The sequence below is a fragment of the Homo sapiens genome, chromosome 17 (assembly GCF_000001405.40).
Source record: "Homo sapiens chromosome 17, GRCh38.p14 Primary Assembly".
Classification (NCBI taxonomy): Eukaryota; Metazoa; Chordata; class Mammalia; order Primates; family Hominidae; genus Homo; species Homo sapiens.
This window is the reverse complement of record NC_000017.11, coordinates 18883823-18907961: the sequence shown is the minus strand read 5'-3', so window position 1 is coordinate 18907961 and position 24139 is coordinate 18883823. Positions and strand designations below refer to the sequence as shown.

Sequence of the window (24139 nt, the reverse complement as noted above, 5' to 3'; positions counted from 1 at the left end):
CATCATCATATTGGCCAGGCTGGTCTTGAACTCCTGACCTTAGGTAATCTGCCGGCCTTGGCATCCCAAAGTGTTGGGAATACAGGCATGAGCCACCGCGCCTGGCCTGTGTCTTCATTTTCATTTGGTTCTAAATACTTTTTAATTTCACTTTTGACTTCTTCTTTGACCTATGGGTTATCTAAAAGTATGTTATTTAGTTACTAAATATTCAGGACATTTCCAAAGATACTTCTGTTATTAGAATTATTCTTAATTCCACTGTGGTCAGAGAATATATTTTGTATGGCTTGCATAATTATCAATTTGGGGCTTATTTTATGGCTCACAAGAATATGATCTATCTTTGTGTTTATACTAAAAAAGAACTACATTCTGCTCTCTCTGGATGGTGTGCTATGACTGTCAGTCAGATCCAGCAGGCTGAAGGGGTTGTTCAAGTCTCCCGCATCCTTAATGATTTTCAGTCTCCTTATTCTATCAATTACTAAGAGAAGAATAATGGAATCACTATCATTATGGATATATCTATTTCTCCTTGCAGTTATCAGTGTTTGCTTCATATACTTTGAAACACTGTCATTTAGTTTATAAATGTTTAGAACTGTTTTGTCCTCTTGAAGAACTGACCCCTTTATCATTAGGAAAAGACCTTCTTCAACCATGGCAAAATTATTTGCCTTGATTTGTCTGATATTAATACAGCCACTCCTGATTCCTGGGGGCCATGCTGAGTCTTACTCTTTTTTCCATCCTCAGCACCTAATGCATGGTAAATGTTCAAGTGTTTAAGAATCCAACAAGTTCTCGCAGTCTTGGCTTACCAGCACCAAAAATTCAAAACAAGTTCTTAACTAACTGCTTACAAGAATTACTAAAAACAAACAAAAAATTAAGGATTATACTGAATCCCACTAGTACTATCTATACTAGATACAGCCAAGGCATTTACATGACATATGAAGAGCAGGGCACTAGAAAGTACTAAATACTATTAGTATGTAGACTCTTATGAGCTGTTAGAAATTTCACATCAACCTGGTTTCCTATATGCACTACACAACAAAGGAAAGCTTTGCTACAGTGTTAGCAATTATTTCAAGAAATTTAAATTTGGCTGGGCACGGCAGCTCACGCCTGTAATCCCAGCACTTTGGGAGGCTAAGGCGGGCAGATCACTTGGGACAAGGAGTTCAAGACCAGCCTGGCCAACATGGTGAAACTCCATCTCTACTGAAAAACGAACAAACAAACAAACAAACACACAAAAAACTCATGCTTAAATCATCCTATTTTCAATATACTTTTTAAAGCTGGGTGATGGCTCACACCTGTAATCCCAGCACTTTGAGACGAAGGCAGGAGAATGGCTTGAGCCCAGGGGTTTGAGACCAGCCTGGGCAACACAGGGAGACCTCGTCTCTACAAAAATAAAAAAAAATTAGCTGGCCCAGGCACAGTGACTCACGCCTGTAATCCCAGCACTTTGGGAGGCTGAGGCGGGTGGATCGCAAGGTCAAGAGATCGAAACTATCCTGGCCAACATGGTGAAACCCTGTCTCTACTAAAAATACAAAAATTAGCTGGGCGTGGTAGCACGCGCCTGTAGTCCCAGCTACTTGGGAGGCTGAGGTGGGAGAATCACTTGAGCCCAGAAGGTCAAGGCTGCACTGAGCTATAATTGCACCACTGCACTCCTGCCTGGGCAACAGAGAAAGACCCTGTCTCAAATAAACAAACAAACAAACAAACAAACAATCTCAGACACACGTAAGTAAACATTTATTGGTCTGGTCCTATCTATGAGGAATGTAATTTATATTTCCAAGGAAAAGATGATAAACCTTCACAGGAGCAAGACTGTTCAGGTCAAAAACAGTGAAGTCAGTAAAATATATTTATCTATGTGTGTGTAAGACAGAATATTTGTCCTAAGGGAAAAGAGGGAGCATCATAAACACAGAATATTTTAATAACATTTGATAAATATCCCAAGATGTAAGATTTAGTATTCATATAACTTTGAATTCATCCTTACAAAAAAAATCAAAATAGTTTTTAAAAAATTATCAAGAGAGTGGCCAGGAGCAGTGGCTCACGCCTGTAATCCCAGCACTTTGGGAGGCCGAGGCGGGCAGATCACCTGAGGCTGGGAGTTTGGGGCCAGCCTGACCAACATGGAGAAACCCTGTCTTTACTAAAAACACAAACAAATTAGCCGGGTGTGGTGGCACATGCCTGTAATCCCCAGCTACTTGGGAGGCTGAGGTGGGAGAATCACTTGAACCCGGGAGGCGGAGATTGCGGTGAGCCGAGATCGCACCATTGCACTCTAGCCTGGGCAACAAGAGCGAAACTCCGTCTCAAAAAAAAAAAAAATTCTCAAGAGAAAAAAATTTCAGACAGAACAATGGGGCAGAGTCTTCAAAAGAGTTGGCATCACATAGATTATTAGTTCCTCCTTGAAATTCAAGATTGGCTTTGCAAACAAAATTGGCCAAATGACTGACCTGTTAGTTATCCTCTAAGGAAGTCTTTTCCATCTGGGATCTGTGGAGGTTTGCCAATTCCTAGAATAATATTTCAATTATACCAACCTCTACAAAGCACAATGCTCTTAAGATAAATAAAATCATGGCCGGGTGCGGTGGCTCACACTTGTAATCCCAGCACTTTGGGAGGCCAAGGCAGGTGGATCACCTGAGGTCAGGAGTTTGAGACCAGCCTGGCCAACGTGGTGAAACCCCGTCTCTACTAAAAATACAAAAAAATTACCCAGGCATGGTGGCAGGCACCTGTAATCTCAGCTAATCGGGAGGCTAAGGCAGGAGAATTGCTAAAATCCGGGAGGCGAAGGTTGCAGTGAGCCGAGATCGTGCCATTGCATGCCAGCCCAGGCGACAACAGCAAGACTCTGTCTCAAAAAAATAAATAAGTAAAATAATAAATAAATAAAATTATTACCTGCACAGCAATGGGAGTTTCTGGATACTCCATATAACTTAATCAGATACTTTGCATTCCCATCTAATTCCAAAATCAATCAGGATGGTTTCTCTGTGTCATTTTGTTTCATGCACTGACAGAGAGGAATTCTAAAGCAACTTGATCCTGATTGTACGATAATGAGTTAATTTACATCATGGGTGAGAAAGAACAAGACACAGGGCCTCAGCTATCCTTTTGTTTCCTATTCACTCAGTTATTCAGAGAAAACAATTTCAAACAACTCATTCAAGCAAGTTCTGTTCCTTACAAAAGCAACACTTTCTCTGATGATCCCTTTTAGTCAAAACAACTGCTCATTGTCAAACAACTCCAAAACAATAGCTCTGGACTTCGACCTATTCATCAATAACTTCAGGATTCTAAAGGCACTAACCACTAAACACAGTGGCTCACGCCTGTTATCCCAACAGTGGCTCACGTCTGTTATCCCAACACTTTGGGAGGCCGAGGCAGGCAGATCACTTGAGGTCAGGAGTTCGAGAAGAGCCTTACCAGCATGGTGAAACCCCATGTCTACCAAAAATACAAAAATTAGCTGGGCATGGTGGCGCACGTCTGTAATCCCAGCTACTTAGGAGGCTGAGGCAAGAGAATCGCTTGAATCCAGGAGGTGGAGGTTGTAGTGAGCCGAGATCACACCACTGCACTCCAGACTGGGCGACAGAGGGAGACCCTGTCTCAAAAAATAAATAAATAAAGGCACTAACCACCACCATTCTACATAATGGTATTTAATTTATAAAGTCCTTCAGTAAGTTCTTTGATGCTTATTAACTCTGTAAGATAAGCCAAGCAGGTGTTATCCCCAGGAAACTGAGGCTTGGAGAGACAGCCTTGACCAAGGTTCTCACAAAGACTGGCTAAGGCACAAGTGGAAGCCCAAGTCTTGGACTGCTAATTTAATACCTTCCTGACTGATAAAAGTCAGCCCCAGTCTGACTTCTACATTGATTACAGCTATTTTCTAAGGTTGGCTGCCAAATGAAAAACTTGGAGGAGGGAACTAGAAATAATAGGATCAGAATTTGCATGTGGCTGAGCCAGAAAGTGCCATCTCCTGCTCGAAGTCTGGGTGAATGTGTTTATCAGGACATTAGAACACAAGAAAATCACCACCACATAGCTACGGGATATAAGACAACCAGAACTGACTTTACTGTGTTGATGCCATGTCGACAGAGCTCTTGCTCACAATACCTTTTTATTTTACTTTGTTTTTTTGAGACAGGGTCTGGCTGTCACCCAGGCTGGAGTGCAGTGGTGTGATCTCACCTCACTGCAACCTCCACCTACTGGGCTGAAGTGATCCTCCCACCTCAGCCTCCTGAGTAGCTGGGACTAGAGGCACACGCCACCACACCCGGCTAATTTTTGTATTTTTGGTAGAGATGGGGTTTCAACATGTTGCCCAGGCTGTTCTTGAACTCCTGGACTCAAATGATCTTCCAACCTCAGCCTCCCAAAGTGCTGGGATTACAGGTGTGAGCCATCGAGCCTAGCCCACTCACAATACCTTAAACTCACAGACCAAACTCCTAAGCCTTGACTGTGTTATTTTACTACCTGTTCCATATAAAACTGAACCTTTTGTAGCACTCATCTCCATACTAAAACACACGTTCATTCATTCATTTATTTATTTGATGGAGTTTTGCTCTTGTTGCCTAGGCTGGAGTGCAATGGCACGATCTGGGCTCACCGCAACCTCCGCCTCCCGGGTTCAAGCAATTCTCCTGACCTCAGGAGATCCACCCATCTCGGCCTCCCAAAGTGCTGGGATTACAGGGGTGAGCCAATGCGCCCAGCCTCTAAAACATTCATTTAATGTAGTATGATCTATGTGGATTCAATTACTGAAACTGGGAGAAAAAGAGACTGGGTCTTTCGTTCCAATCTACCCAACTGACCTACCAGTCAAAGAGCACATGAGGGCAGTCTGCAAGTGCCATGGGAACACAGCCCTGCCTGCACTGGTCACCACCACATCCACGATGGCTGGCACAGCAGCACTCAAATATGTACTCGGTAAAGACTGAGTGGAGGGGGGCAAGTCAATTTCTTTTTTTTTTTTTTTTTTTTTTTTGAGATGGAGTTTTGCTCTTGTCACCCAGGCTGGAGTACAATGGCGCAATCCTGACTAACTGCAACCTCTGCCTCCCAGGTTCAAGCAATTCTCCTGCCTCAGCCTCCCAAGTAGCTGGGATTACAGGCGTGCGCCACCATGCCCCGCTAATTTTGTATTTTTAGTAGAGACAGGGCTTCACTAAGTTGGTCAGGGTGGTCTCAAACTCCTGACCTCAAGTGATCCACCCCCCTCGGCCTCCCAAAGTGCTGGGATTACAGGTGTGACACCGCACCTGGCCCAATTTCAATCATATTTGGCCAACACTCAAGTCCCCTAATCACTGGTATAGAAAACATTCTTGGAAGTAAATAGTTGCCCCACTACCTTCAAGGAAACAACATTTGGTGGAACTACCTTGGTTCCTTCATCTCTGTGGGTCTGTTTCCTCATCTATGAGAGATTATAACTGCTGACTTCCAAAGTTGCAAAGATCAAATAACATAACATAGATAAAAAACATCTGACGCTACACATGCATTCCTACAGGGCATCTTCCTAGGCCTCATCAGCCCCAGCAAAATAGGTTCTCAATAAACATTTGAACAGATGAATGACAAACATCACTGACAAAAGCCAAAGAAACTGAGCAAAAGGCTACTACATCCATCCCTCTGTGAACAGGTGGGTGACAGAAGTAAACTGAGGACTCTAGAGGTTACTAAAAGTCCACCCAGATGGGAAAGTCAACAGAAAATTCATCATGTTCTTCTGGTATTTAGTGGGAAAGAAAAAAAAATGTATCAAGGCCAGATGCAGTGGCTCATGCCTGTAATCCCGGAACTTTAGGAGGCCAAGGCAGGAGGATTACTTGTACCCTAGAGTTAGAGACCAGACCTGGCAACATAGGGAGATCCCGTTGCTACAAAAATAAGGAAAAAACCAGCTGGGCATGGTGGCACATGCCTGCAGTCCCAGCTACTCAGGAGACTAAGGCAGGAGGATCTCTTGAGCCCAGGAGATGGAGGCTACAGTGAGCCGTGGTTGTACCACTGCACTCCAGCCTGGATGACAGAGCAAGAACCTGTCTCAAGGAAAAAAAAGTATCAAAACATTGTCACTTCTGCTTCCACTAGGAAGGATTATTAATACTCCTTCTGCCACCCACAACTAAAACCCCTGGATGTTACATACAAACAAAAATGAGAAGACTCTGGCCAGGCGCAGTGGCTCATGCCTGTAATCCTAGCACTCTGGGAGGCTGAGGCAGGCAGATCACGAGGTCAGGAGATAGAGACCATCCTTGCTAACATGGTGAAACTGTCTCCACTAAAAATACAAAAATTAGCCAGGCATAGTGGCAGACGCCTGTAGTCCCAGCTACTCGGGAGGCTGAGGCAGGAGAATGGCATGAACCCGGGAGGCGGAGTTTGCAGTGAGCCAAGATCGTGCCACTGCACTCCAGCCTGGGTGACAGAGCGAGATTCCGTCTCAAAAAAAAATGAGAAGACACTAAAAGGTAGAGAGAAGGCAGACTAGCAAGGGACCTCAGGACCTGAGCAACGTCACGGTGGTGGCTTCCTTGGGCATTCCTTTTGCCTTATTATCCCAGATTTGTAGCTGGAGAAGAAGCGACCCAAAAATGCCAGTGGGCAAAGACAAGAAAAGCTCCAACAAAGGTCGGCTCTCCCTAGTCAAAGGACTAAGAAAAGGGCAACCTAGTGAGTGAGAAAATATTTAGACAATAACTGCCTTACTCTAGCCACACAGGCAGGAAAGCCACAGCCCACGTTTCCGCCACATTTCCGCCGCATGAGTAAAGGTTGAGGGGTGAGCCTGTACTTCCTGGCTTGTCAGGCTATAATGAGGCACCCCAAACCCAATGGGGTGGTTTCACAGAAGGCCAAACAGGGAGCTGGGACTTTCACCCTCACTCAGCAGTAAGGAGCAACTGCCAGAGTCAGTGGAGAGTGAAATCTGGACTTCTACCCCCAACTCAGCAGTAAAGAGGTGCCCCTCCCCTCTCCATTGCAGTGGTATCAGAGGCAGCCTGGTGGAGTCAGGAATTCCACCACCACCCAATGAGAATGATGCTACTTTTCCTTGGCGTCAGCGGAGGACATGGAGGGAGCATTTCCACCCATGAGTAACAAGGACCACCTTAGGTGGTCCACACAAGGCCTGGTGGTGAATCTCGACTTCTACCCTTACCTAGCAGAAACGAGCCCCAACACCACCACTTTCCCTGCCAGAGTCCTGAGAAGCCAGCAAAATCAGAAGGCCTAAATGAGACCCAGAGTCTCACACACAATATCTAAAAGTCCAGATTCCAATCAGAAGCCACTCGCCACACTAAAGGCCAGTGAAATCTCAATATGAATGAAAAAAGACAATTAACAGATGCCAACACCAAGATGACAGACATGCTGAAACTGTATAACAAAGATTTTAGAGCAGCCATCAGAAAAGTGCTACAAGCAGCAATTATGAGCATGTGTGAAATAAAAAACAAGAAGTCTAAACAAAGAAAGTATTGACAAAAAAATAGAAGGTATAAAAAAAGACCCAAGGCCAGGCGTAGTGTCTCATGACTGTAATTCCAGTACTTTGGGAGGCCGAGGCAGGCAGATCACTTGAGGCCAGGAGTTTGAAACCAGCCTGGCCAACATGGCAAAACCCCGTCTCTACTAAAAATACAAAATTAGCAGCCAGGCACGGTGGCTCACGCCTGTAATCCCAGCAGTCTGGGAGGCTGAGGCGGGCAGATCACGAGGTCAGAAGTTCAAGACCAGCCTGACCAACATGGTGAAACCCCATCTCTACTAAAAATACAAAAATTAGCCGGGCGTGGTGGCAGATGCCTGTAATCCCAGCTCCTCAGGAGGCTGAGGCATAAGGATCACTTGAACCCAGGGAGCGGAGGTTGCAGTGAGCTGTGATAACACCACTGTACTCCAGCCTGGGCAACAGAGCGAGACTCAGTCTCAAAAAAAGAGAACCAAAAACTTATTTTAGAACTTAAAAAATACAATAACCAAATTAAAAAGCTCAGTTGGGCTGGGGGTGGTGGCTCACACCTGTAATCCCAGCACTTTAGAGAAGCTGAGGTGGGCAGATCACTTGAGCTCAGGAGTTCAAGACCAGCCTGGGCAATATGGTAAAATCCCCGTCTCTACCAAAAATACCAAAAATAAATTCGCAAGACACGGTGGCATGCACCTGTAGTCCCAGCTTCTTGGGAGGCGGATGTGGGAGGATTGCTTGAGCCTAGGAGGCAGAGGTTGCAGTGAGCTGTGATCATACCACTACACTCCAGCCTGGGCAACAGAGGTGAGACCCTGTCTCAAAAAAAAAAAAAAAAAAAAAAAAAACTCAGTTGGATATACTCAACAGCAGAATGGAAGTTACAGTGAAAATAATAATGGAGGTCAAGGAAAGAATCAGTGAACTGGAAGACAGACAACAGAAATTAGCCAATTTGGACAACAGAGAGAACAATGGCTGTGGCAGGGCATGGTGGCATGTGCTTGTAGTTTCAGCTACTCTGGAGGCTAAGATGGGAGAATCACTTGAGCCCAGGGGTTCAAGACCAGCCTGAGTAACATAGTGAGACCCACTAAAAAATAAAAATATAAAAGACTAGAAAATAAAAATAAACAGAATCCCATGGACCTGTAACAAAAGATCAGCTGGGCACGGTGGCTCACACCTGTAATCCCAGCACTTTGGGAGGCCAAGGTGGGTGGATCACCTGAGGTCGGAAGTTCAAGACCAGCCTGACCAACATGGAGAAACCCCGTCTCTACTAAATATACAAAAGTAGCTGGGCGTGGTGGTGCATGCCTGTAATCCCAGCTACTTGGGAGGCTGAGGCAGGAGAATCGCTTGAACCCAAGAGGCAGAGGTTGCAACGGTGAGCCAAGATCACGCCATTGCACTCCAGCCTGGGCAACAAGAATGAAACTCCATCTCAAACAAACAAACAAACAAACAAACAAACAAACACCTGACATTTATGTCATAAGAGTCCCAGAAAAAGAGGAGAAAGACGGTAGGACTAAAAAAGTACTCAAAAAGACAATGGCTGAAAGCTTCCCAAATTGGTCAGAGACATAAACCCACAGCTTCAAGAAGTCCAGCAAACACCAAACAGGATAAACCCAAAGCAATCTCAAGATATATCATAATTAAACTTTTGAAAACTAAAGACAAAGAAATAATCTTGAAAAATAATTCATGATAACCAACTTCTCATCAGAAACCACAGTGACCAAAAGAAAGTGACACAAAAACTTTTCAGGTGCTGAGAGAAAAGAACCGTTACTCCAGAATCCTATACCCAGCAACGATGTCCTTCAAGAATGAAAAGGAACTCTAGACATTCTCAAATGAAGGAAAACCAGCAAAATGTGTTACCAACAGAACTATTATTTAAAAGCGGCAAAAGGAGGTACTCTAAACAGAAAGGAAACAATAAACTAAACTTTGGAATATCAGCAAGGAAGAAGGAAACAAAAATACCTGTAAATATAATAAGCTTTTCTTCATTTCTGACTTTTCTAAATTATGTTTGATGTTTAAAAGCAAAAATTCTGGCTGGGTGTGGTGGCTCAAGCCTGTAATCCCAGCACTTTGGGAGGCCGCGGTGGGCAGATTGCGAGGTCAAGAGATGGAGACCACCCTGGCCAACACAGTGAAACCCCATCTCTACTAAAAATACAAAAATTAGCTGGGCGTGGTGGCGCTCGCCTATAGTCCCAGCTACTTGGGAGGCTGAGACAGGAGAATCACTTGAACCCGGGAGGCGGAGGTTACCAAGAGCTAAGATTGCACCACTGCACTCCAACCTGGTGACAGAGCGAGACACTGCCTCAAAAAAAAAAAAAAAAAAAAAAAAAAGCAAAAATTCTAACAGCCTGATACTGCTATAAATGTATGTATAGAAATATTTAAGACAAATATATTAAAAACAGGGGGAGTAAAGAGACACAGAGAGGTATGACTTCTATATTTCACTCAGGCTGATAAAATGACATCAGTATATTGTAATATGTTTTGTATATGTAATAAAATACTTAGAACAACTATTAAAACAGCTATATAAGGTGATATTCAAAACACTATAGAGGGCCGGGCGTGGTGGCTCACGCCTGTAATCCCAGCATTTTGGGAGGCCAAGGCAGGCAGATTACCTGAGGTCAGGAATTCCAGACCAGCCTGGCCAACATAGTGAAAACTCCATCTCTACTAAGAATACAAAAATTAGCTGGGTGTGAAGATGGGAGCCTGTAATCCCAGCTACTCAGGAGGCTGAGACAGGAGAATCGCTTGAACCTGGGAGGTGGAGGCTGCAGTGAGCCAAGATGGCACCATTGCACTCCAGCCTAAGTGACAAGTATAAAAATCCGTCTAAACAACAACAACAACAACAACAACACCACTATAGAGAAGCACCACTCTAGAATGGCAGAATAAGGACCCTAAAAAATCTGCTCCTCCATGAAAGAAAGAAAAACTCTAAAAAATTTTGCAAAAATTAACTTTTACATAACTGTGGAAGTTAACCAACAGCTTGCAACAATCTGAGGAGTGTTTAAGAAAAACAGCTGAATCTTGTTAAAGAGCAAACTTTGGGCTGGGCATGCTGGTTCACGACTATCATCCCAACACTTTGGGAGGCTGAGATGGGCAGATCACTTGAGGCCACGAGTTGGAGACCAGCCTGGGCAATATAGTGAGACCCCATCTCTACAAAAAAAACATGAGAATTAGCCAGGCATGGTGCTGCATGCCTGTGGTCTCAGCTACTTGGGAGGCTGAGGTGGATCACCTGAGCCCAGGAAGTCCAGGCTGCAGTAAACCATAATGATGCCACTGCACTCCAGCCTGGGCATCAGAGTGAGACCCTGTCTCAAAAAAAAGAAACTGTGTGTGTTTTAACTTGCCCCATTCCCATTATTCCATTATTCCCATGCCTCTCTCTCCAGTTCTGCAAAAGACAAAAATTGGAAACCTCATAATCATGGTGGCCATGAGAAACAGAAGACTAGCAACCACTGGTGGGAAAAGAACAGGTTTGGAGCTTCTCAAGAAGCCCATTCTCAGGTAACCATCACTATTATGCCTATCTGGCAGCTTGCTGAGACTCAGGGCTGGAGAATATGATCAAACTTAGAGTCACTCTGTGTGAATAGTCCCATCCCCAGAGTAGATGAGCAATCAACAGCAACTGTTTAACACTGCAGCCGCCTGAAGTGACAATACCAGTTGAGTAAAACAAGGGGCTAGACAAAAAAAAAAAAAAAAAAAAGGAAAATCTGGGGAATGAGATGGCCACATGGGCCTTGAAAAGCTTATTCCTGCATGTAAAGAACATGCGCTTACCCAGGAAGGACCTGAAAAGCCCCTAACCTTGAACCTTGGCTGACCTTAAGGCTCTGTGCAACCAAGAAGTAAAGGCTAAGGCAGAGTTGTAAGCTGCTGGGAGAATTGAAGACATGCACAAACACACACACACAGACCTTGAAGAGAGTGGGAGATTTATTGCTTCAAGGCATTTCAGGAAATCTCTGTCCAATCATTAGCTGGCCAGTAAGCTAACCAACCAGAGACTTCAGTGGCTGAATGCTACAAAGAATACAGACTTTACAGAATTGGCACAGGGTGGCCACTAAACAAACATATCACAGAAACAACAGCAACAACAAACACTGGGAATTGGTGGAGGTAGAATCTGATGCTCAGATTTTTCACATTACATAATTTAAAATGTTGTTTTTAACTAAAATGTACAAGGCATGCAAACAAAAAGGAAAATATGGGCCGGGCATGGTGGCTCACACTTTTAATTCTAGAACTTCAGGAGGCCCAAGGCAGGAAGATTGCTTGAGGCCAGGAGTTTGAGACCAGTCCAGAAACACAGCAAGATCTTGTTTCTGTATTCTTTTTTAAAGTAAGAAGTTTTGGCCAGGCATGGTGGCTCACACCTGTAATCCCAGCATTTTGGGAGGCCAAGATGGGTGGATCACCTGAGGTCAGGAGTTTTGAGACCAGCCCAGCCAACATGGTGAAATCCCGTCTCTACTAAAAATACAAAAATTAGCTGGGTTTGGTGGCACACACCTGTAATCCCAGCTGCTCAGGAGGCTAAGGCAGGAGAATCGCTGGAACCCAGGAGGCAGAGGTCACAGTGAGCTGAGATCATGCCACTGCACTCCAGCCTGGGCAACAGAGCAAGACTCTGTCATAAAATAAAAATAAAAATTAAATTAAATTAAAATAATAAAGTAATAAGTTTTTTTAAACATTAAAAAAAAGAAAAACATGGCCCATACACAGTAAAAAAGCAGTCAACAGAAACGATCTCTGAAAAAGCCCAATGTCAGAATAACTAGACACAATAAATTAGCTATCATAAATATGTTCACAGAACTAAAGAAAACAATGTCTAAAAAATTAAGGGATACCCAAAGAAATGAAATATTTATTTAGGCATAAATATAACAAAATATGGGCTGGAAGTGATGGCTCATGCCTGCAATCCCAACACTGGGAGGCTGAGCCTAGGAGTTAGAGACCAGCCTAGGCAACACAGTCAGACCCCCGTCTCTAACAAAAAATATATATATATTTTTTTAATTAGCCAGGCATGGTGGTGCACACCTATAGTCCTAGCTACTTAGGAGGCTGAAATGAAAGGATTGCCATGAGCCCAAAAATTCAAGGCTGTAGTGAGCTGTGATGGCACCAGTGCACTCCAGTCTGGGTAAACAGAGCAAGACTTTCTCTTTAAAAAAAAAAAAAAAAAAAGTACACATCTATATGGGGAAAACTACAAAACTCTGATGACAGAAATCAAAGATGAATTTTTAAAAAATGATATCCCATGTTCATGGATAGGAAGACTCAATATTGTCAAGATGCCAGTTCTCCCCAATCTGATCTACAGATTTAATGCAAATCCCAATCTAAATCCCAACAAGTTATTTTGTGTATTTCAAAAAACTGATTCTGAAGTTTATATGGAGAGGCAAAAGACCCAAAATAGCCAACACAATATTGAAGAACAAAGTTGGAGGTGTGACAATACCCAACTTGAAGACTATTAAGGCTGGGCGTGGTGACTCACGCCTGTAATCCCAGCACTTTGGGAGACTGAGGTGGGTGGATCACGAGGTCAGGAGTTCAAGACTGGCCTGGCCAAGATGGTGAAACCCCATCTCTACTAAAAATACAAAAATTAAAAATTAGCTGGGCATGGTGGCAGGTGCCTGCAATCCCAGCTACTCAGGAGGTGAGGCAGAGAATTGCTTAAACCCAGGAGGCGGAGGGTGCAGTGAGCCAAGATTGCACCACTGCACTCCAGCCTGGGCAACAGAGCAAGACTCTGTCTCAAAAAAAAAAAAAAAAAAGACTATTGAAAAGCTACAGAGGGCCGGGCATGGTGGATCATGCCAATAATCCCAACACTTTGGGATGCCGAGGCAGGCAGATCACCTGAGGTCTGGAGTTCAAGACCAGCCTGACCAACATGGAGAAACCCCATCTCTACTAAAAATACAAAATTAGATAGGCGTGGTGGCGCATGCCTGTAATCCCAGCTAGTCAGAAGACTGAGGCAGGAGAATCACTTGAACCCGAGAGGTGGAGGTTGCAGGGTGAGCTGAGATCGTGCCATTGTACCCCAGCCTGGGCAACAAGAGCGAAACTCCGTCTCAAAAGAAAAAAAAAAGCTATAGAGGCCTGCATGGTGGCTCACGTCTGTAATCCCAGCACTTTGGGAGTCAGAGGTGGGTGGATCACCTGAGGTCAGGAGATCAGGTTGGTCACCAGCCTGACCAACATAGTGAAACCCCATCTCTACTAATTAGCCAGGTGAAGTGGTGCACACCTGTAATCCCAGCTACTTGGGAGGCTGAGGCAATAGAATTGCTTGAGCCTGGGAGGCAGAGGTTGCAGTGAGCCAAGATTGTGCAGCCCGGGCAACAAGAGTGAAACTCCATCTCAAAAAAATTAAAAAGCTATGGTGGCTGGGTGCGGTGGCTCATGCCTGTAATCCCAATACTTTGGGATGATCATTTGAGGTCAAGATCACTTGAGGTCAGGAGTTGGAGACCAGTCTGGCCAACATGGCGAAACCCCGTCTCTACTAAAAACACAAAAATTAGCCAGGCAGTGGTGCAATCACGGCTCACTGTAGCCTTGACCTCTTGGGCTCAAGCAATCCTCCCACCTCAGCCACCCAAGTAGCTAGAACCACAGACAAATGCCACCACATCCAGTTAATGTTTTTTTTTTTCTTAAAAACGAGGTCTCACTATATTGCCCTGGCTGGTCTCAAATTCCTGGGCTCAAGTGATCCTTCTGCCTCAGCCTCCCGAAGTGCTGAGATTACAGAAGTGAGCCACTGCACCTGGCCAATGGATTCTTAGACATGACATCAGAAGCAGAGGCAATAACAAACAAAAAAGATAAATTGATTGGGGAGGCCAAGGCAGGCGGATCACGAGGTCAAGAGTTCGAGACCAGCCTGGCCAACATGGTGAAACTCCATCTCTACTAAAAAATACAAAAAATTAGCCGGGTGTGGTGGCGGGCACCTGTAATCCCAGCTACTCAGGAGGCTGAGGCAGGAGACTCGCTTGTACCCGGGAGGCAGAGGTTGCAGTGAGCTGAGACACTGCACTCAAGCCTGGGCAACAGACTGAGACTCCGTCTCAAAAAAAAAAAAAAAAAAAGATAAATTGAACTTTATCAGCATTGAAACCTTTTTGTGTGAAAGAACACCATCAAGACAGTGAAAAGACAATCTGCAGAAAGAGAGAAAATATCTGCAAATCATGTATCTAACAAGGTTTAGTATGTAGAATATATAAAGAGTGCTTATAACTCAACAAAAAGACAACCCAATTATTAAATGGGCAAAGGGTGTGAACAGGCATTTCTCCAAATATATACAAATGGCCAAAAAGCACATAAAAATATACTCAACAGCTAGGCATGGTGGCGCATGCCTGTAATCCCAGCTACTCAGGAGGCTGAGGCAGGAGAATCGCTTAAACCTGGGAGGCGGAGGTTGCAGTGAGCCGAGATCGCGCCACTGCACTCCAGCCTGGGTGACAGAGCGAGACTCTGTCTCAAAAAAATAAATAAATAAATAAATACACACACACACACACACACACACACACACACACACACACTCAACAGGCTGAGGCAGAAGGATTGATTGAGCCCAAGAGTTTGAGCCCAGCCTGAGCAACATACTGAGACCCTGTCTCATTAAAAAAAAAAAAAAGATACTCAACATCATCAATCATTAGGGAAATGCAAATGAAAACCACGATAAGGTAGAATTTCACACCCACTAGGATGATTATAATGAAAAAACTCAGAGAATTAAGTGTTGGTGAAGATGTGGAGAAGTTGGAACCCTCATACTCTGCTGGTGGGAATGTAAAATGGGCAGCTGCAGTGGAAAAGAGACTGATAGTTCCTCAAAACATAAACGAAACTGCCATATGACCCAGCAATTCCAATCCTAATATATATCCACAAGAAAGGAAAAATGAAAACTTATGCCAACACAAAAACTAATCCATGACTGACCATAGGAGTCCTATTCATAATAGCCAAACGGTAAAAAAAAAAAGTGTCCATCAACAGATGAATGGATAAACAAACTAGTATACACATACAATGCAATATTACTCAGCCATCAAAAGGACTGAGGTACTGGCCAAGTGCGGTGGCTCACGCCTGTAATCCCAGCACTTTGGGAGGCCGAGGCAGGCAGATCACAAGGTCAGGAGTTTAAGACCAGCCTGACCAACATGGTGAAACCTCATCTCTACCAGAAATACAAAAATTACCCAGGTGTGGTAGCATGCACCTGTAATTCCAGCTACCTGGGAGGATGAGGCAGGAGAATTGCTTGAACCCAGGAGGCGGAGGTTGCAGTGAGCTGAGATCGTGCCACTGCACTCCAGCCTCGGCAACAGAGTAAGATTTTGTCTCGAACAATAACAGCGACAACAAAACACTGAGATACTACATGCTACACCATAGATGAACCTTGAAAACTGCTAAGTGAAAGAAACCAGACACAGAGGGCCACATACTGTGTGGCTGCCGAGGGACAGAAGGTGAAGGGATAAGGAATGATTGCTGAATGGGTACTAGATGTTCTTCTGGGAAGACGAAAATGTTCTGAAAACAGAGACAGGTGGTGGTTACACAACATTGTGAATGCACTAAATGCCAGTGAATTCTATACTTTAAAATTATTGTATATTATGTGATTTTTCACCTACATTTTTTTAAAGCATGTATATCAGAGAAAAATTATTAAGTAAAATTAATTCAGCCTTTGAAGAAATGTTTGGAAAAGCTATTTGAAATGTTTACATTCTAAAATTCAGTCTGTTTCTTACAATTTAATCAAATGGACAAGAGGAGATCAGGTGATACAACTTCTTGAAGGACACATGGGTGAACACAGGCCCGGCTGGGTTGGGAAAGTCAGCCACAAGAACACAGCCATGTAATGGTTTTATCTCAAATGCCAATTTATTTTATTTAATATACTAAGTCTACATATTAAAGTGCTATTCTTAATTCATAACGTCAATGACTTATGTGAAATACTTTTGAAATCAATGGCTTACTGTGTGCAAGTTCTCCTCCATCCTTCAATACTGCCAGCCCACGAGCCCAGGGTGGAGGCACCCTACACTTTCTTTCATTCCACAGGACTCAACAACAATCCAGTGATCAAAGGTATTCAACTGGAAAATAACTTTAAAAGGGCTTTTTTAGGAAAAAGGCTTTATTCCTACAAGTGATTTTGTTCTTTCCCTCTCCAGTGGAGTGGCTTCTCCACAAAACACTGGTAGTATAAGAAATCCTCTCAACCGACATATAATTTTAAGTATGCAATAGTGACACATCAGTTACTCCAGGTTACATGTAACTCACTCTACTGACTCTCAAGGCTCCCCCTTTGGTACACCTCAGGTTGTGTCAATTTTGTAAAATGTCACCTTTAACATATACAAATAACTGGCCTCTCAGCTGGATAAAATTCTGTTAATCAATTTCTGAGTTCCTCAAATAAGGGGCAGTAAACAACTATGAAGTTGTCTGCTAGTACTGTAAATATTCGCCAGTACTGTAAACGCCAGACTCAAAGACTGACATGTGATTGTCAATCTGGGTCTGGGGAAAACACTAGATCGTATTCCCCAGAACTGGATTGCTTTGGTCAAGAAATATGATTGAGGTCAGGCGCAGTGGCTCATGCCTGTAATCCCAGCACTTTGGGAGGGTAAGGCGGGTGGGTGGATCGTTTGAGCCTCAGTAGTTCAAGACCTGCCTGGACAACATGGCAAAACTCTGTTTCTACTATTAAAAATAAAAATAAGGCCCAGTGTGGTGGCTCACGCCTGTAATCCCAGCACCTTGGGAGGCCAAGGCAGGTGGATCACCTGAAGTCAGGAGTTTGAGACCAGCCTGACCAACATGGTGAAACTTCATCTCTACTAAAAATACAAAAATTAGCCAGGCATGGTGGTGCACGCCTGTAATCCCAGCTACTTGGGAGGCTGAGGCAGGAGAATCGCTTGAACCCAGGAGGTGGAGGTTGTGGTGAGCCGAGATCGCGCCACTGCACTCCAGCTTGGGCAACAAGAGCGAAACTCCATCTCAAAAAATAAAGAAATAAAATAAAATAAATAATAATAATAATAAAAATAAAAGAAAGTGTAAGTGGAAGATAACTTAAAAAAGGAAGTATGTCTGGCAATCATAGAGTGGGATTGGAAAAAAAAGAGAGGAAATTAAAATGTTTACTTAATAAATGGAGTTGACAGAACAATCTTAAAATACCAGTCCATGGAAGAAAAATAAGAGATATCGCTGGGAACCACTGAAGTTCAAATTAGAATGCCTGGAACTCATCACGGATACAATCCTTAGAAGTAGATCCAGAAAGAGGTTGTGAGATTCCCACCTACCTCTTCGCCGAGGCTGGAGACTTGGCCACGATTACTGCATTCCTGTAATCTGGGATCTGTGACAGACAAGAAGTCAGGTATTACTGCATGTCAACAAAAAGGAAAATTCCAACAGACCCAAAAATGCTTGGCTAGTTGAAAGTTTTCCAAAAAAAGAAAAAGTTCAAAGTAAAATTCTCCTTTGGAAAATGAAGAAAGGAACCTGCCTATGAAAAAATATTACTAACTTGTGAGCCACACAGACTTCTTTTAGGAAAAAAGTAGGGATAATTGGTGATTAGCTCTTATCTCTGCCAGCAAATACTAATGATGCAGTGTAAAGATGTTTCTATATATCTCGTCAACAAGAATCCTAATTACATGTAATTTCAAAGTACAAGGATATCCAATTCAATCTGAATACAAGCTGACTGTCAAATTCCAAATTACTGCAGTCCAAACAAATGGCTATTTAACATATCGCAGTCATAACATGTTGAAGCAACCAATTTGTTAAAGGATAATCGGCCCAGCACTATTTTAAAAAAATATATTAACTATATTCTCATTGCTTTTTTCTCACAATTACACCAATGAATTTTAATATGAGCAGTTAATAACACCTAGCAACATGTATAAAACAATGCCTACCATACAACAAGCACTAAATAATAACTACTTAGCAAATGAACAAAAAATGATTAATTTGAATAATTTAGTACAGTTGCCTCCGGCATAATCACATGGCTCAGCTGTATCTACAGGAAAGCCTAATTTATCCAACACTCTCAGGAAGTAAGGCAGTAAAATATATTTCCATTTGGGCACTTTCATTATTTTTGCTGGCAGTCTTTCTAAACTTTTTCATGTATTTCCTTGTCTCATCAAACATCATCAAACATTACCAAACCCAGCCAAGAAAAGACAGAACCAAGAAAACAGTTAATAACAATTAAAGGACCTAAAAGAAAGGACTCTAACAAAAACAAGTCTATTGTCTCTACGGAGGTTAAAATGGGAAATTATATACAACAAGAAAGAACAAGTTGAGGTGAGGGGCGCCTCTGCCCGGCCACCCCTACTGGGAAGTGAGGAGCCCCTCTGCCCGGCCAGCCGCCCCGTCCGCGAGGGAGGTGGGGGGGTCAGCCCCCCGCCCGGCCAGCCGCCCCGTCCGGGAGGGAGGTGGGGGGGGTCAGCCCCCCTGCCCGGCCAGCCGCCCCGTCCGGGAGGGAGGTGGGGGGGGTCAGCCCCCCTGCCCGGCCAGCCGCCCCGTCCGGGAGGTGAGGGGCGCCTCTGCCCGGCCGCCCCTACTGGGAAGTGAGGAGCCCCTCTGCCTGGCCAGCCGCCCCGTCCGGGAGGGAGGTGGGGGGTCAGCCCCCCGACCGGCCAGCCGCCCCGTCCGGGAGGGAGGTGGGGGGGTCAGCCCCCCGCCCGGCCAGCCGCCCCGCCCAGGAGGTGAGGGGCGCCTCTGCCCGGCCGCCCCTACTGGGAAGTGAGGAGCCCCTCTGCCCGGCCACCACCCCGTCTGGGAGGTGTGCCCAACAGCTCATTGAGAACGGGCCAGGATGACAATGGCGGCTTTGTGGAATAGAAAGGCGGGAAAGGTGGGGAAAAGATTGAGAAATCGGATGGTTGCCGTGTCTGTGTAGAAAGAAGTAGACATGGGAGACTTTTCATTTTGTTCTGCACTAAGAAAAATTCCTCTGCCTTGGGATCCTGTTGATCTGTGACCTTACCCCCAACCCTGTGCTCTCTGAAACATGTGCTGTGTCCACTCAGGGTTAAATGGATTAAGGGCGGTGCAAGATGTGCTTTGTTAAACAGATACTTGAAGGCAGCATGCTCGTTAAGAGTCATCACCAATCCCTAATCTCAAGTAATCAGGGACACAAACACTGCGGAAGGCCGCAGGGTCCTCTGCCTAGGAAAACCAGAGACCTTTGTTCACTTGTTTATCTGCTGACCTTCCCTCCACTATTGTCCCATGACCCTGCCAAATCCCCCTCTGTGAGAAACACCCAAGAATTATCAATAAAAAAATAAATTAAAAAAAAAAAAAAGAAAGAACAAGTTATTATGAAAAAGAACCAAAAATAAATCTAGGGGGAAGAAGTTATTATGGTCTAAAGAAACCCAGTAGCTGGCTGGCTTAACAGCAGAATAAACACAACTTTAAGAACAAACCAGGGAAGATCAAGACAAGGAATTTCCCCAGAATGCTATATATAAGTATGCAAAAAGTAAAATAAGTTTTTAAAAGTTATAGAGACTAGATCCAAAATTTTCAGGACCTAATAGTTCCCAAAGGAAAATAATAAAAGAAATAGAAGGGATGAAATACTTAACAGATTAAAAAAAATTCCCAAAGATGGCCAGGCACGGTGGCTCATGCCCATAATCCCAGCACTTTGGGAGGCCAAGGTGGGCAGAACATCTGAGCCAAGACCAGCCTGGCCAGCATGGTGAAACCCCCTCGCTGCTAAAAATGCAAAACAAAATTAGCCAGGCGTGGTGGTGCACACCTGTAATCCAGTTACTCAGGAGGTTGAGGCCGGAGAATTGTTTGAACCCAGGAGAATTGTTTGAACCCATTTAAAATGTCTCCAGAAAGAATTACTATGATTCTTTTCATTAAAATTTTTCATTAAAATGAAAAATTATCAAGCCGGGCACGGTGGCTTCACGCTTGTAATCCCAGTACTCTGGGAGGTTGAGGCGGGTGGATAACCTGAGTTTGGGAGTTCAAGACCAGCCTGACCAACATGGAAAACCCCCTTTCTACTAAAAATACAAAATTAGCCAGGTATGGGGGCCCATGCCTGTAATCCCAGCTACTCGGGAGGCTGAGGCAGGAGAATCGCTTGAACCTGGGAGGCGGAGGTTGTGATGAGCTGAGATTGCGCCACTGCACTCCAGCCTGGGCAACAAGAGCAAAACTCCGTCTCAAAAAAAAAAAAAAAAAAAAAAAAGAAGAAAAGAAAAATTATCATGTATGCAGAAAGACACAGGAAGAGACCATCAGAGTATAATTTGATATTCATGAATCAAATATTCATCACTGGAAAAATGATACAATTCCACATTTTCTTGCAAGGCAACAATCAAATGCTTTATGAAACTTAAGAAAGGAAGATCCCTACCAGTAGGTCAAACTGTGAAAAGGACTGCCTGACACATCCCCAGCAGTGCAGCGGAAGGCAACAGACACTGTCAGACGCCCTCAGAAGAGATGGCAAAAGTTGGCTGGGCGCGGTGGCTCACACCTGTAATCCCAGCACTTTGGGAGGCTGAGGCGGGCAGATCATTAGGTCAGGAGATTGAGACCATCCTGGTTAACACGGTGAAACCCCATCTCTACTAAAACTACAAAAAAATTAGCCAGGCGTGGTGGTAGGTGCCTGTAGTCCCAGCTACTGGGGAGGCTGAGGCCTAGGAGAATGGCGTGAACCCGGGAGGCGGAGCTTGCAGTAAGCTGAGATTGCGCCACTGCACTCCAGCCTGGGCGACAGAGTGAGACTCCGTCTCAAAAAAAAAAAAAAGTATAGATGGCAAAAATTTCAAGGCAACGAGCATCCTAGTACCAGAATGTTCCTTCTGACTCTGGCAGAAGGTGCTTAAATTCCAGTGACAAACACAAGAGATGGAGAAAGCGTCAGCATCAAAACCTGCAGAATAGGATCACTAAGTGACAAGAAGGCACAGTGCCACAGTATAATTAGCAGTGTTTTCTTCTTTCTTGGTGACGTAAAATAATGTAAGCCTGGACTGACAGCACCTTAGATTCAGTGAAACATGAATATCTATCCCCTGCTTTAAGAGGCTCTAACACACGAAAACAAAAGAGACAAGATACGTATACTATAAAAAGGCAATACAGGCCAGGTGTAGTAGCTCATGCCTGTAATACCAGGACTTTGGGAAGCTGAGGCAGGCAGATCACTGGAGTTCAGAAGTTCAAGACCAGCCTGGCCAACACGGTGAAACCCTATCTCTACTAAAAACACAAAAATTAGGCCAAGTGCGGTGGTTCACACCTGTAATCCCAGCACTTTGGGAGGCCAAGGTGGGCAGATCACCTGAGGTCAGGAGTTCGAGACCAGCCTGACCAACAAGGAGAAACCCTGTCTCTACTAAAAATACAAAATTAGCCGGGTGTGGTGGCACATGCCTGTAACCCCAGCTACTCGGGAGGCTGAGGCAGGACAATCACTTGAACCTGGGAGGGGGAGGTTGCTGTGAGCCGAGATCATGCCATTGCACTCCAGCCTGGGCAACAAGAGCGAAACTCCATCTCAAAAAAAAACAAAAAACAAAAATTAGCCAGATATGCTTGCTTGAACCCAGGAGGCGGAGGCTGCAGTAAGCCAAAATCGCACTCCAGCCTGAGTGACAGAGAGAGACTGTCTCCAAAAAAAAGAAAAAAGCAATACACAAAAATTCCTTTTTAACACTGAGTTCCCACATATTAATTTTTTTTTTTTTTTTTTTTTTTTTTGTGAGAAGGAATCTCACTCTGTCGCCCAGATCACGGCTTGATGCAGCCTCGACCACCTGGGCAACTTCAACCTCCCAGGCTCAAGCAATCCTCCCACTTCTCATCCTCTTGAGTAGGGGGGACCACAGGAATGCACCACCACACCTGGTTAATTTTTATATTTTTTGTAGAGACAGGGTTTTGCCATATTGCCGAGGATGGTCTTAAACTCCTGGACTCAACTGATCCAACCTCCTCAGCCTCTCAAAGTGCTGGGATTATAGGTGTGGGCCACCACACTCAGCCCTGACTTCTTCTCAACAATGAAACTAAAATGGGGATTTTTTCAAGTAGAAGGCAGTGTCATCCTCAGGTAGAAGCCTGCACTACAGGCAATGACTAGCGTTAGGCTTCCAGCCTGACCTTGCAACCAGCACAAGGGTGCCCCAGCCTTCGTTCTTTAGGCTCACCCACCGGGCATCCCTTAAGAGGTGCAATTGCCATTTGTGCCTTGAGACATTGGCACACAACATGCCTGTGTCCTGAATGGAAACATCCCCTAAAACAACAAGATGTCGACAGCAACCCACATAAGTCTATAGCGACTGCTCTATTTCTTCCAAAATGACAGGTTTCTCCATGCGGCTGGTTGCTAACTGAACCACGTTCAATGCTCACCCTCTCACTCTCTCTCTGCCTAAACCTCTTCATCCTTCCCTATCAAGACATTTGCCAATTTTATCTCACCTTCTCTCTCAACTAAGAATAATATTCAGGTAAAATTAGGCCAGGCACAGTGGCTCACACCTGTAATCACACTGTTTTGGGAGGCTGAGGCAGGAGGATCGCTTGAGGCCAGGAGTTTGAGACCAGCCTGGGTAACACAGCAAGATTCTGACTCTGGAAATATTTTTTAAAAATTAGCTAGGTGTGGTGGCACACCTCTAGTCTCAGCTACTCAGAAGGCTGAGGTGGGAGAAATCTCTTGAGCCCAGGAGTTCAAGGTTGCAGTGAGCTATCATGGCACTACAGCACTCCAACCTGGGTGACAGAGAAAGACCCTGTCTCAAAAAAAAAACATAAAATTTTTCAGGTAAAATTAAAGTCTCTATTATTTTTTTAATTTGTTAGAGTATTTTTGTTTTCTTTTTTGTTTTTTTGAGATAGTCTCGCTCTGTCACCCAGGCAGGAGTGCCGTGGCACAATCCTGGCTCACTGTAACCTCCACCTCCCAGGTTCAAGCAATTCTCCTGCCTCAGCCTCCCAAGTAACTGGGATTACAGGCACGCGCCACCACATCCAGCTAATTATGTATTTTTAGTAGAGATGGGGTTTCACCATGTTGGCTAGGCTGGTCTGAACTCCTGACCTCAAGTGATCCACCCGCCTCAGACTCCCAAAGTGCTGGGATTATAGGCGTGAGCCACTGCGCCTGGCGTAGAGTTTTTATGTTTCTTGTGTGTAACTTTAAAGAAAAAAAAAAAGCAGAATATTTTACATTTTTCTCTTTCAAAAATACTTAAATTCATTTTCTCTATAAGGACTTATAACAATTGCTGGAGAATGGGGAAGCCCTGTATTCTTACCAGAAAGAAGTTCCTC

At 44.3% G+C, this 24139-nt stretch overlaps 1 protein-coding gene across 20 annotated transcripts in view, besides 1 other annotated feature; it reads right to left on the bottom strand.

Annotated features, from left to right (window-relative positions):
- Window positions 1-24139, bottom strand: part of PRPSAP2 (phosphoribosyl pyrophosphate synthetase associated protein 2) — a 74989-nt gene that overhangs the window by 23326 nt on the left and 27524 nt on the right. For all 20 annotated transcript variants that reach the window (NM_001243942.1, XM_047436415.1, NM_001353106.2 and 17 more), the window contains one exon: window positions 18085-18140. In NM_001243942.1, the coding sequence (NP_001230871.1) occupies window positions 18085-18140 (56 nt within the window). The remainder of the gene's footprint in view (window positions 1-18084; window positions 18141-24139) is intronic.
- Window positions 7230-7279: an enhancer, noted in NCBI's record as "active region_11843". NCBI's record gives its function as "activates an Ori minimal core promoter by ATAC-STARR-seq in GM12878 lymphoblastoid cells {active_cell/tissue: GM12878}" and the evidence as "EXISTENCE:reporter gene assay evidence [ECO:0000049][PMID:35858748]".